Genomic DNA, 14,193 nt, shown 5'->3' with positions numbered 1-14,193 from the left:
TACACAGACCTGGTTCCAATCTAGTTGTGCCACAGATAGTGGTGTAGTCCTTGGCAAGTTATTACATAATCTGAAGCATTGTTTCATTCAACTGTAAATTAGAATGACTAGATCATGAGAAAAACATCTGTTGGATCTATGAGGGATGTTTTGTACTTGTTTGCTTTTGCATCTTTGAGACTAGCTTATTGCCTGGTAAACAGTAGCCCTAATAAGTTAAAGGAAAAGTAAGTGAAAGATATTGGTATATAGGTGCTCAATAAATGATTTATTATATATAGATATACTTAATGTATATAATATTTTAGAATGCATATTATGTTATATTTAGTCCTTACTGATGACTCTCTGAAGAATGTTTTTGTCAATTCCAAAAGACTAACAGAGACTATCCAATTTCCCAAAAATAGTCTGCACAGTCAGTACTTGAACTAAAGACATATAAACCAAGTTTAGTGCTTTTGTGACTATACAGTAGTAAAATAGATAGTTGTAAATATATGAAAATAAACATAGTCTTGTGGACTTTCAAAGCTACAAATAGCCTTAATTAATATATATTCAAGTCTCTGATTGTGTCAAGAATCTTTGTCAAACATATCTTGAATATATTCAAGTAATAGGGAACCCCCATTACCAGAGTATTCACTTCAAAAATCAACAGCTATAATGGTTACATATTCCTTATACTGACTTCAAAACTTCCTTCAAAATAAATTATACCTTCTGGAGCAAAAAAACAGTTATATTTACTTCTATTAATAATCCTTCAAAACTTTACAGCTAAATTGTAATGTGGTAGAATTTCTGGATTCTTCACTGTATTCTTTAACTTTGGTTTTGCATTTCTTAGAAAGGTGGTACTTTGTGATTACCAAAGAAAATAATAAGACTACTAAAATATTATGATCTGAACATAATCTTGTTTTTGTTTCAGCTTAAAATTTTTAGTAGCCAGGTAGCACAGATAGCAATGCAGATCAATGTATTCTGCGTTATAGAATTTGTCTTCTTCAAACTTTGTCAAGAGCCACTTCACATAGGATCTGCAAGGGTTATAGGTTCTACAGTATTATTTAGGGAAAAAGAAGCAATTCTTGAGTTCATGCTTTCTGTGAAAGTCGTAATGGGTTCAATAAATATTTATAGACTACCTATTATATTTCAGTGCTTTTCCAATGCTGGGGATAGAGAAGAGAATGAAACAAATGTTGCCACCCTCAAAGAACTTATATTCTACTTCTGGAGAGCATTACACAAGGAAGAATTGTGAATGATTAGTCATTACCTACTTTTTTTTTTTTTTTTTGAGATGAAATCTTGTTTTGTTGCCCAGGCTAGAGTGCAGTGGTGCAGTCTGGGCTCACTGCAACCTCTGCCTCCCAGGTTCAAGCGATTCTCCTGCCTCAGTCTCCCGAGTAGCTAGGATTACAGGCGCCTGCCACCATGCCTGGCTGATTTTTGTATTTTTAGTGGAGACAGGGTTTCACCATGTTGGCCAGGCTCGTCTTGAACTCCTGACCTCGTGATCCGCCTGCCTCAGTCACCCAAAGTGCTGGGATTATAGGTGTGACCCACCACACCTGGCCAGTCATCAACTACTTTTTCAGACATTTTTGTGTAAAATTTTATGAATAAGTTTAGTACTCCAAACTCCAATTACTGGCTATTACAGTTAATAAGAGAATGCTCTGATATTTAACTAAGTTTATTAAAAATCATGCCTTCAGTGAGCAGAGTCCAATGGGTTAATAGGTTTCTATTGTTCCTAGTCAAATAAACTTTTCATGTAATTACAGTATTCTTTGAGAAGAGCTTTAATTAAAACTCTGATTTGCAAACTCTCCATGTAATGTTGATTCTGAAGTGGGTGGAAATGCTTTCTAAAATCCATTCGTTAAAGTAAAATGGAAAATCACTTCAATGATTTTGTTGAATTAAGTCAAAAAAAGAGAGCAGATATTTAATGTTTTTAATGTTCTCATTAAATTAGGACGGGCACTATACGTCTAAGCATCATTATTTGAATTTGCAACCAGCAAAGCTATTATATGTTAATTTTGCATAAATTTACTATTCTGGCTATTGCTCTAGTTAGGGTGTAACTTCTCATAAGTGAGAAATGTGAATAAAGCACATAATGGTGGTGTTGGTGAGGATGTCATATTTCAAGACTGTATTAGTCTAGACCAAAACATCAGAACAAAGGGAGGCTTATACAAAGAAATAGGCATATGCAAATGTTTCTTACTTTGAAGAAATAGTTAAATCACAAGTGAGGTAATTATTTGGTCTCATATATCGAACTTGACCTTCTAACTGTATGAAATGGTAAAAACACACAAGTATTAGACTGTCAGTGTGTAGCAGTTCCATTTGCTGCCTAAGCACAAATCTTTTTTCTCTGACTGCTAAGCTTGTTCATCCTTCAAACATGATTATCTGACAATACAAACATGCATAGTATTTTTATTTCAACTGTAAATCAAATAGCATATTCATTAATATCTTTAGAGTATATTCACATTAGATGAATATTTTTCAAGTTGCCTGGAATTTTCTTGGGCATCTCTTTCAAACCACAGTGTATTCAAGTTGATAACACTGCTAATGAATGTTTATTAGTCTTTTAGCTGCCGTAACAAAATATTGAAACAACAGAAATGCATTGGCTTGCAGTTTTGGAGGCTAGAAGTCTCAGATCAAGGTGCTGGCAGGTTTCCTTTTTGGTGAGGCCTCTATTATTGGTTTGTAGATGTCCACATTTCACTGTATCCTCATATGGCTTTTCCTCTGTGCAGGTGTGGAGAGAGTTTTCTGGTGTTTTTTCTCATGAAGATACCAGTCCTGGTGGATTAGGACCCACCCTTATGAACTGAAGATACCAGTCCTGGTGGATTAGGACCCACCCTTATGAACTCTTTTAACCTTAATTACTTCATTTAAGGCCATATTTCCAAATATAATCACACTAGGGGTTAGAGGTTAAATATATGAACTGTGCAGGGACAAAATTCGCCCATATCAGACAGTTCAAATAATATTTTCCCTTTAAAAATAAACTCTTACTTTGAAAGAGTTTAGGTTTACAGAAAAATTGTAAAGCTAGTATTAAGTGTTCCCTATGCCCTAAACTATGCCCTAAACTATATTTAGTTTAGTCTAGTGTTAACATCTCACATTAGTATAGCACATTTGTTATAATTAATGAATCAGTTTTCATACTTTTTTTTGTTTAGTTTTTACCTCGTATTATCTTTCCATCTTTCTTCTTTTTCTTCTCTCTGTTTTTTCTTGGGGGGGGGCTCTAGTGTCATATTCAGAATATCATGTTACACTTACCAGTCATATACCATTAGGCTCCTCTTGGCTGTGACAACTTCAGAGGCTTCCTTCATTTTTGTTGATGTTTAGAGTTTTGAGGAGTTTTGATTAGATATTTTACATAATCGGTTGGAATTTTTCTCATGTTTATCTCATGAATGGAATGGAGTTGTGCATTTTTTGGGAGAGTGACCAAAGAGATTAATTACTATTTTTATCATATCTTCTCAAGGTTACAGGCTATCAACATGACTTATTGCCGTTGGTGTTAATTTTGATCACCTAGCTGAGGTAATGCTTGTCAGGTTTCTCTACTGTGAAGTTACTCTTTGTCCCCGCTTTCCATATTGCATTCTCTGAAATGATGTAACGCTCTGCTCATACTTAGGAAGTGGGGAGTTGCACTTCACCTTCTTGAGGGCAAAGTATCTAAATAAATTACTTGGAATTCTTCTGCACTGGTCATTTGTCTTTTCTATACTTTTATGTAACTATTTATATCAGTATGTACTCATGGACAATCATTTCATACTTTGGGTTATAGTCTAATAGTACTTTATTTTGTTGCACAAATTGTTATAGTTTTGGCCACTAGGGGCTCTTTCATTTGGGTTCCTCTGTCTCTTTGGTGGGTGTTTTTATTTTTTTTTAAATTTTTAAGTTTTGAGCAATTTATTACTCTCTGCCACTACAAAATGTTCTGGGTTCATATTGTATGTTTCCTATGTCAGCCTTATAATCAGCTATTTTATTGGTTCTTTTTATTGGAGAATAGTATTAGAAACCAAGATCTGAGAGTTAAGTGTGCTAATTGCTACCAGGATGTTGTTGCTTCTAGGCCCTTTCAGCTGACAGAGCAAAGACATGTGCGTGTATAAGTATAAGAATTAAAGAAAGAGGAAAGAAACACGAAAGATGGCTTGACAGTCAAGACAGGTTTATTGTAGAGAAAACAAACCTGAGAGGGGCGTTTGGCTGCATTAGGTTAGAAGCACGCTTTTTTACAGACTAAGAGTTTTTAAGGGTTTAAAGTGGGAGAGTTTATTAGAGGCTTTGACTGCTTCTGTGTTTTTTTGTTGTGCTTATCTGGGAGGGAGAGTTGTGTGTCTTTTTTTATACATTTTTTTGCAGCTGCAGGCATACCCCCGAGTCTGCTTTTAGCTTTCCTGTTTTAGTGCACTTGAAGGGAAAGAAATGTGCTTATTAAGGCCCACTGTTTTATTGGGGTTCATTGTATGAGGGTGAAGATTGGCAATTACCCAAGAGACTTTTCCCCCACCTCCCCTGTGCCCAAGCTGTCTTATCTGTGTTTCACTCTCTGCTTTCTCTGGCTGCTTATAGTTAGAAGAGAAGTGATTTGCTTGAAATGCATGAAGCTAGAAAGGGAGCCGAAACTTAAAGTGGCAGTGTTTGTCTAAGATGATGGTGCTCCTGCCCTGTCAGTGAGATACTACACAGATGTCTAGAAATGTCTATATATGTATATTAATTTACACTAATTAAACTTTGTACTTATGTTTACAACTCTAATAAATTTCCATATGGATCTCTTTAGCCTCCTCTCTTTGATTATCTGTAATCTTGCACTTCAACAGTGAGAAATCCCACTCCCATCTTCATTTACTTAATTGTTAAATACCAGCATACACATATAGAGCTATCAGAATTGTTATGCCACACCTCTGTGGGAAGCTACTTTATCAACTAAAGTACAATGCGATGTACAGTTCTTTTTGCATTTATTTTATAGATTGTATTGATTTTGAAAGTTATTCAATTTAGCAGTTTTTCCCCTTATTCCTGGCTGTAAAGTTGTCCCATACATTTTTAATGCAGTTACATTGTTTTGTCACATTCTGAATTCTGTATTAAGATTCTTCAACCTCCTAAATGACCTGTTGAAAATTTTGTATACATTCAGGTTCACTTTTTATTCTGTAAGGGTCTATAGATTTTGATACAGGCATAGTGTCATACAACTGTCATTACAGTACCACACAGAATAGTTTCTTCCTTCTAAAAATAAAATCACCTTGTGCTTTACATATTCAAACACTGGTAACCATTAATCTGTCTTCTATCTCTATAGCTTTGCATTTTCTGGAACTTATCCAATCTGTGTTGTTGGTGTTGCTGTTGTTGTTTTTCCCCACACAGGCTTCTTCCCCTTTGCAGGGTAGATTAATGATTCATCCATGTCTTTTAGTGGCCTGATAGTTCATTTCTTCTTATTGCTAAAAATATGTTTTATTGCATAAATGTATGAGCTTCATTTCTGATACTGGTAGTTTGTATTCTCTCTCTGTCTCTTAAATAGCCTGGAGATAAGTTTATCAATTTTTAAATACTTTCAAAGAATTACAATTCAGTTTTACTGAATTGTGCTTTCATTTTCATTTTTTCAGCTTGCTTTAGGCTAAATTGCCCTGCATTCTCTGAATTCCTAAGATAAATCTTAGGTTACTCATTTTAGACCTTTCTTATTTTTAGTACATACATTTCATGCGTAAATTTTCTTCTAATCACTGATTTCACTGCATTACACAAGTTTTGACAGGTTGTATTTTTATTAAGTCCAAAATAATTCTTATATTTCCTTTGAGACTGCTTCTTGGTTCCATATTTTATTTAGATGTGTTTTGTTTGATCTTCACATAGTTGGGCATTTTCCAGGTGAATTTTTTATTCTTATTTATAATTTTTTAAATTAATTTACTTTTAATTTTTGTAAGAATGCTTAACATGAGATATACCCTCTCATTTTTTAACTGTTTACAGCACAGTATTTTTAACTGTAGGCACAGCAGTTCTGTAGAACTTTTGTTTCTGCATAAATAAAACTTCATGTCATTGAACATCAACTTTTTGCTTTCCTCTCTCCCTAGTTTCAGGAAACCACTGTCCTACTCTCTATGAAACTGACTATTTTAGATACCTCATTTAAGTGGAATCATGAAGCATTCATTCTTCTGTAACTGGTTTATTTCATTTGGTATAACGTCCTTTAAGTTCATCTTTGTTGTTCAAAATGGCATAATTTCCTTTGTTTTTAAGGCTAAAAATCAAATGCATTATATCACATGTTCTTTATTAGGTAATTCATTGATGGAATTTAGGTTGTTTCTGCCTTTTGACTATTATAAATAATGCTGTAATGAATATGGAAGTGCTAAGCCTCTTGAGATTATGATTTCAATGCTTTTGGATATATACTCTGAAGTGGATTGCTGGATCATATAATATTTCTAAGTTTTTGAGATATCTCCATACAATTTTCTTTAGTTATTGCACCATTTTACCTTTCTACCAACAGTGTACAAAGGTTCCGATTTCCCCACGTCATTGCCAATACTTGTTACTTGTGTGTGTGTATGTGTGTGCATGTATGTTTTAGTAACCTTGAAAGGTTGTAAGTGCCATCTCATTGAGGTTTTGATTTGTACTCTCTGATGATTGATGTTGAGCATTTTATCATATGTCTTCTTTGGAAAAATATCTATTCAAGACCTTTACCCATTTTTAAATCGTGTTATTTGTTTTTTTGATGTTGAGTTGTTGGAGTTTTTTATACATTTTGGATTTCCATAGCTTATCAGATATATGGCTTGCAAGTATTTTCTCCCATTCTGTAGGTTGTCTTTTCATCTTGTGGATTGCCTCATTTGCTGTGCAGAAGCTTTTTAGTTTGATGTAGTCCCACTGGCCTAACTTTGCTTTTGTTACTTTTGCTTTTGGTGTCACATCAAATAAATCATTGTGAGGTTCAATGTCATGAAGATTTTCTGCTATGTTTTCTTCTAGGAGTTTTACAGTTACAGGTCTTATATTTAGATATTTCATCCATTGTGAGATAATTTTTGTGTATTGCTTAAGATAAATGTCTAATTTCATTCTTTTGCATGTTTATATCCAGTATATGTGTGGTTTTTTCTCAACTGATGCCACAAAAATAACAAAGGATCACAAGAGACTATTACGAACAATAAACTAGCAAACTAGGATAACTTAGAAAAAATGAATAAATTTCTAAAATCTTACAATTTACTAGGACTGACTCATGAAGAACTAGAAAGCCTGAAAAAAACAGTAATGAATAAGGAGATGTAATCATTTACCAATAACCTCCCACCAAAGGAAAGCCCAGGACCAGATGGCATTACTGGTGAATACTACCAAATGATTAAAAAAGAATTAACATGAATCTTTCTTAAACTTTGCCCCAAAAAACTGAAGAAGAACCACTTCCAAATCTGTTTTATGAGGTCAGCATTGCCTCAGGTGATTTCTTTCCTTTAAACAAATTTAGTTTTTGTTTATTTTTCCCCACAGTCCGAGTATGTTCTATCTTACTGAATATAATTTTCTGTTGAAAGCTGGATATGTTGTATCAGGTAATTGAAACTAAGGTAAATAGACCTATAGTATGTGGTTTTATGCTAATCTGGTTAGGAGCTGGGCTGTGTTTATTGTTTCCTGTAGGTGTAGGTGTCATAAGTGTCAGAGGCTTTGTAATTCCTTTTTTTTTTTTTACTTCACTCTTCAGTTTGGGCTTCCCTAAATCTTCCTCTTCAGAGAGAGTCTATGTCTTGCAGCTCAGTCAACTGTAATCTTCTATTATAATATAATCCTGTGAATGTAGTGCTATGGTATTGAGGAAAAGAAGTGTTATAAAATTTTCTGATTAAATCTCAGTCTTATTGTGGGCCTGTGTCTCTAGGCTGTGGCCCTTACAATTGTTTCTCCACTTGCTAGCAATTCCACTTCCCACCTCCTTCCTCCCCCACTGCTTATGTGATAGGAAGGCTAATAGGGGCTGTAGCGGGAAAAGTCTCCTTTCTAAAACTAGGATAAAACTGGGTAAAATCTTTCCCCAGGAGAGCAAGACTTTGTACTGGTGAGGGTCTGTGCGTATTTCCTAATTACTCTTTTCTTCCTCTTGCCAAAGCCACAAGATCTTTCTTGGATCTGCACTGAGATCCTTTTATAGAACCTAGAGGTAAAACCAGTGAAAGTGTGAGGAGCTCCCTAAGACTGAAGATGCCAGAGTTTCCACTCTTATGCTAGTCTACACTCGGCAGCCAGCAGTTGAGCAAATTACCACTTAAGTGTTTCTACAAGTCTGTGGTTCCAGCAACTTCTGTTCTAGTTAAGCAGATCTCAGCTGTATTTTTCTGTCTCTCCAGCTTTTAAGGTGACAATTTGCCTTGAGACCTCAGTTCTCTGATGGGTCAAAAGAAAAAGTAATTGATTTTCAGTTTGTTTAGTCTTTTTTGTTGTAAGAATGAAAGCGTTGACTTCCAATCTCTTGCATGTCAGAGCTGAAACAGGCAGTCTCATATTTTTCATTTAAAGATTTATGTGGCTAGGTGTTTACCCAGACTCTCAGTATAAACACTGTAGCTATTAAGACAGTTCTATAAGATGCTAATAATTGTTTCTATGTAATCAGAGCAAATAACCATATTTGATTCCTGAGGTCGATTAAATTACGTGTGGTCATGATGTGTGGCAACTTCTGAGCTGATGTAGAAGCTAAATTTTTGTTCTAAAAAATCTGGTGCTTTATGTGGTTTAAAAGCTCTCATAAACATCCAAGTTAAAATTTAAAAATATCCAGATTGTAGTTGTGGTAGTCAGAATCCTGAATTAGCCCCCAGGATTCTCACCATGCTGTTGTACATACCCTGTATAACATACCTCACTTTGAAAGAGGCTTAGAATACAGTGAGATGCCCCCCGATGATGATGTTATATTATATGGCAAAAGGGATTCTGAGTATGTAATTAAGGTTCCCAGTCAGTAACTGAGTTAATCAAAAGAGAATTATCCTGATTCGGCCTAATTCAGTCATGTAAGCCACTAAAAGAGGTCAGACCCATTCGAAGCAAGAGGGATTTCTCCTGCTGACTTAGAAGAAGTAAAATTGCTCTTTTGAATTGCCTGTTGAGGGGGCTACATGGCAAGAAATTGAGGGTGGCCTTTAAGACTGAGAGCAGTTTCTGGCCAATAAATGGAAGGAAAAGGGGAATTTCAGTCCTATAATCACTTAAACTGAAATTTTTCAACAACCAGTAAGATTGAAAGAGAGCCTCAAGCTTCAAATGAAAACACATCTGTGAGGTAATAAATACATGTAATTCATACTTCTATGTTTATGGTAATTTGTTACACAACAGTAAAAAAAATTATGAAAGCTGGAGAAAATGCCCAATGAAAAAGTATTTTGATATTTTGTTAATATTAGCCCTAGTGGAAATGCACTCAGAATTTAATAGAATTAAGTTCTATTTTTATTTCTATAACTTATTTAAAAAGAAAAGTGGTCCAGGCGCAGTGGCTCACGCCTGTAATCCCAGCACTTTTGGATGCCAAAGCAGGCAGATCACCTGAGGTCAGGAGTTCAAGACTGGCCTGGCCAACATGAAGGAACCTGTCTCTACTAAAAATACAAAAATTATCAGGGGTGCTGGCGCATGCCTGTAATCCCAGCTACTCGAGAGGCTGAGACAGGAGAATCGCTTGAACTCGGGAGGCGGAAGTTGCAGTGAGCCAAGATCGTGCCACTGCACTCCAGCCTGGGCGACAGAGCAAGACTCTGTCTGAAACCAAAAAAAAAAAAAAAATGTGTATTCACTCGATGTACGTACAGAAAACATGTGTCGGTGTGTGTGGTTCACACCTTCAGCTGAGTGTGGTTTTCCTGCGGTTACTCCAGGTACATAACATGCAGGCATACAATAGCACCACAAAACCCAGGCAGAGTAAATGATCAGTTTTTACACCAGCTGGTAGCAGGTAGGGAGTGACTGCTCGTAAGACCTCTATGTATTTCCGAGTCTTTATTTGCCTAATTCTGATTTTAGGAAGAGGAAATATGACTGATCTGTGTGTACTTACCATACAAAAATGCAAGTTAATATATGAAGGGCAGGTAAAATAGATAATGAATAGAAATTCTAAAGTGGTAAGTAAAATGGCAAAGAACACCACAGAAAAAAATAGAATAAAATCTAAGCACTGTAGGATTAATCAAGTTGAAAACTATATGTGAAAAATTAATAGTTTAAAGTGCAAAGAATTTCAGAGGAAGTATGTGTTGGACTGTGAGTTCTGTTTCTTGGCTGTTTTGCTTCCCTCTTCCTGTCCCTTTGTCTATTTGGTCTGCCCTCCAGTGATTTTCACCTGGAAGAACTTGAGTTTTAGCTTTCATGTTCAAGAGAAGCCATGATCTAATGTGTTTAGCTTTCAAAAACTAGGCAGAATTTGTTCTTATCTTCAAAAATCTAATTTAAAATTTTCAAAATTTGAGTCTTCACCTTATGTGGTGTCACTGAGAATGAGATTAATTATATTTACAATGAAGAAAATAAAATGTTCCTGTTTTACGACTAATCAAAATAATCTGTTAGAATGTCATACTACACTCTGCCATAGAAAACATCCATATATTGTGGGTTCCTGGTTAACCAATAACTTGATATTGTTATTCCTATTACATTAGAAGAAACTTCTTAATTGGTCAGAATTACTAAAAATTTTGAGTTATATTTTACTTCTCATTTATATCTTATGTAACGCTTACTTATATCTTACGTAACACTACTTTAATATGAATATTAACTTATGGAAAAACTTTTGATTACCATACATTCAATTTTATTTTATGTTCTTAATATTTGAAGAGAAGAAACCAGAACCAGAAACAGGAACAGATGTCTATCTTACCATGTAAATTGCTGTAATATTTTGACTACAGTAAATAAAAATGTTAAGTATATTCCCACTCAAAAAATACACATTTAGCACAATGTACTTGTATAACTTTAAATATTTTTATTTTTATTTCTGTTTTTCTAAAGGTATTCCCCAAGTTATCATTTTTCTTTCTGATTCTTTTCTCTAATTCTAAATGTAGATTCAAAAATGTAGAATAGACTCATTTGGCTTTCCCTTCCTACACCTTCAAGGACTCCTTTTCTGCCTCTTGTTAATGCCCGATTTCTGGGAATTAACCATGTTTACAATGTATGGCCTCTAGATTTGGGGTGAATTCTTTGGGTTTCACTTGCTTTAGCCTCCCTTTTTCATCTATTTATCTCTTCTTACATGATTATCCTGTGGATAGCTAAGGATTCAGGATATCTGGTATGAAATAAAAATGTTCTTGCTTATGTTTTTGTATTTTACTGTTTCATCCATTTTCTTTGACCTCATTCCCTTGTCTAGTGGCTGCAGTTTAAGATTGGCAGATATGGTATTTTCTATAATAATAAGTTGAGTTTTCAGTGATATGTCTATTGCTAACACAGCAGCTATATTCTTATCAAGCTCTGTCATAAATAACATTTCCTGAACATCTGAAAAGCCATGAACTTAATAGAAATGAGAAAAAAAAGTCCTTATGCATTTAACAAACAAAAAAAGAAATTCTGACTCTTCCCCTCATCTGAAATAATTCAGTTCAGTTAAAAATTTTCCTCCCATTGTTTTTAAGTAGAGAAAAGCCAATGAACAAAAATGCTGATGTCTCTTAGACATCAGCTTTTTAAGGGATATTTTGTTATGTCTGTAAATAATCATTTATGTGTACTAAGTATACTTTTTTCCCTCTCAAAATCTGTATTGATAAGTTTCTATCTAAATTTATATGTCAAATAATCAAAGATTGTTTTACCTACATGTTGTAAATAATATTAAAAATTGCCTAGATGATCAATTTGAAATATTTGTATATTCATGTTAGCTTATATGTGGCAAAAATAAGAGAACTAGTAGAGTTTTTTATAGACTACATAGTCCAAAGAAAAGTAATGCAATAAAACAGTAGTAACAGTACAATTGTACTATGATGTTACAAAAATTGTAAAAATAATGACAGCTCTTTACTTCTTGAGCACTTATGATATATATTATTGAGAACTTGTTTGGTAGTGTTCTGATCACTTTCTAAGCATCAGTTCATTTATTTCTCACAAGACTATGCTGTAGTTATTGTTATTTTCCCACGTTTTGTAGATCAAGAAACGAAAGCAGAGAGAAATCAAGAAACATAAGAAATAAAGTGCTTGATACTATGCTTCATACTATGAGGCCTCAGATGACTAAGATTGGCCTCTCCTTTCTCCCACGCATTAGAGAGACTAACTAGTAGGGCCAGACCTTGGAGTTCTTTGTTTTGTGCAGGGGTTTCTATCATGTGTGAAGCTTGCTGAAGATGTCCAACAAAGGTCTGTGTGAACAACATAAGGGGTTCATTGAACAAGGTATAACAAATTCTGGTTACATGTCCATTCTAAACCCTTTGCCTTGGCCTAGGGACCAGGTCCACATAGGTCTCGCCAACGAACAAGATAATCTGTATAACTATTGAGAACTTGGTTAATAGGGCAGTAAATAACATTATTCAAACAATACACATGATAACTAGCATTATGATAACTAAAAATAATAATACGTAAGATGTTACGTAATAACTGACATGTACAGTAGCTTATCAAATATTTTTCACATTTATTATTTACTTTATTAAAGCAATTTTAAGTACATTTTATTATTGTCCTAACTTTAAGGAGGAAGAGCTAAGGTTTTCAGATGCTGAGTCACACAGCCAAAACTTCATAGAATCAGGTTTTTTAATTCCAAATTCTTAGTAACAAGTCTCCCCAGATTTACCAGCTTAAAACAACATGGTTGATGGCTCAGGTCAGCAGGTTGAGCTGGATTCAGCTGAATGGATAGTTTGCTGATTATGACCAGACTTACTCAAGCAGATGCAGTCAAGTAGGTGTCACAGCTCCGAGGGCTGGCTGGCTGTCAGCTGAGGTGAAGGGGTAAACTGGGCCAGTCTTTGTTATCCAGCAGGTTTCCAAAATCAGCAAAAGAAGAAAAGTTCCAATGGTCCATCACGTTTCAATTCTTTGCTTGTCTCACTGATCAAAGAAAGTGACATGGTCAAGTCTATTGTCAGTGGACAAGAGGACTACCCAAAGGCAATGGTACAGAGAAGTGTGAACAAACTTGATGTCATTAGTGTGAGAACTAAAACTAAAATTCTAAGCCCCACAACCAACTGAATAGACCGTCTCTTGGCCAAGGGGTTTCCAGAGAAACCTTATAAACAGAATTCCCAGTGATGATGGGAAGGGAGATCAGACACACTTCATCATAAGCCCTTCCACTTGCAATTTAGACATAACAACTGACCAGCATTAATGTAAAAACAGAGGTCATGAGACTGATAGAACAGACTCTTTGTGGCAGTAAGCAATAAAATTATAAACAGGACCTAAGACCATGGCAGGCAAGGGTTAAGTCAGGCACCCCTACACTTAAAGTAAAAACTATGTTCTGACTGCCACAAGGTTTGTCTATTCTCTAGCAGCGAAATAAGCACTGGTCTCAAGATAAACACTATAAAAACAATTGCAGCTCATCTGTCCCCAGACACTGACTATCTGACCCCTTTTCCATAAGCCACAACTGCAGGTTTGTTGGACAAGAGAGTGATCTGAGCAACTTTACCTGAGAAGAGATCACCAACAACGGACTCATTCTGGCAGGTTGACAGAGGCTGGGCACTGAGTGCCTCCGTGTATCTGCTTTACTTTTTGACTTATAAAAGTCTGATTGTAATGCATTTACATGTTAAGCCTCCACCCCAAAGTGAACAGGTAAAGCATGTAACATGCATGTTTGTTCAGTACACATGCATCAGGATCTCCTTAATGAATATGCATAGCTCCTATAACCTGTTGAATATGTATATTCAGCCAACTCTTTTAGCATAAATCCCCTGAGCCAACTCCTCTTCCTTCAAAGTACCTGCTAATGGTCTCTGCTAGAGGCTATGCTTCCCAGCCTGTCAGGAT

The 14,193-nt window shown here is 35.2% G+C and overlaps 1 long non-coding RNA gene across 1 annotated transcript in view; it reads right to left on the bottom strand.

Annotated features, from left to right (window-relative positions):
• Positions 1 to 13,386, bottom strand: part of LINC02496 (long intergenic non-protein coding RNA 2496) — a 45,534-nt gene extending 32,148 nt beyond the window's left edge. Inside the window, exon 1 of the long non-coding RNA NR_183857.1 lies at positions 13,088 to 13,386. This is a non-coding gene — a long non-coding RNA (long intergenic non-protein coding RNA 2496). The remainder of the gene's footprint in view (positions 1 to 13,087) is intronic.
• Positions 13,387 to 14,193: the final 807 nt, after the last annotated feature.

The sequence above is a fragment of the Homo sapiens genome, chromosome 4 (assembly GCF_000001405.40).
Source record: "Homo sapiens chromosome 4, GRCh38.p14 Primary Assembly".
In the NCBI taxonomy this organism is placed as follows: Eukaryota; Metazoa; Chordata; class Mammalia; order Primates; family Hominidae; genus Homo; species Homo sapiens.
The sequence above is the reverse complement of the archived record's forward strand: the minus strand, read 5'-3'. Positions and strand labels throughout refer to the sequence as shown.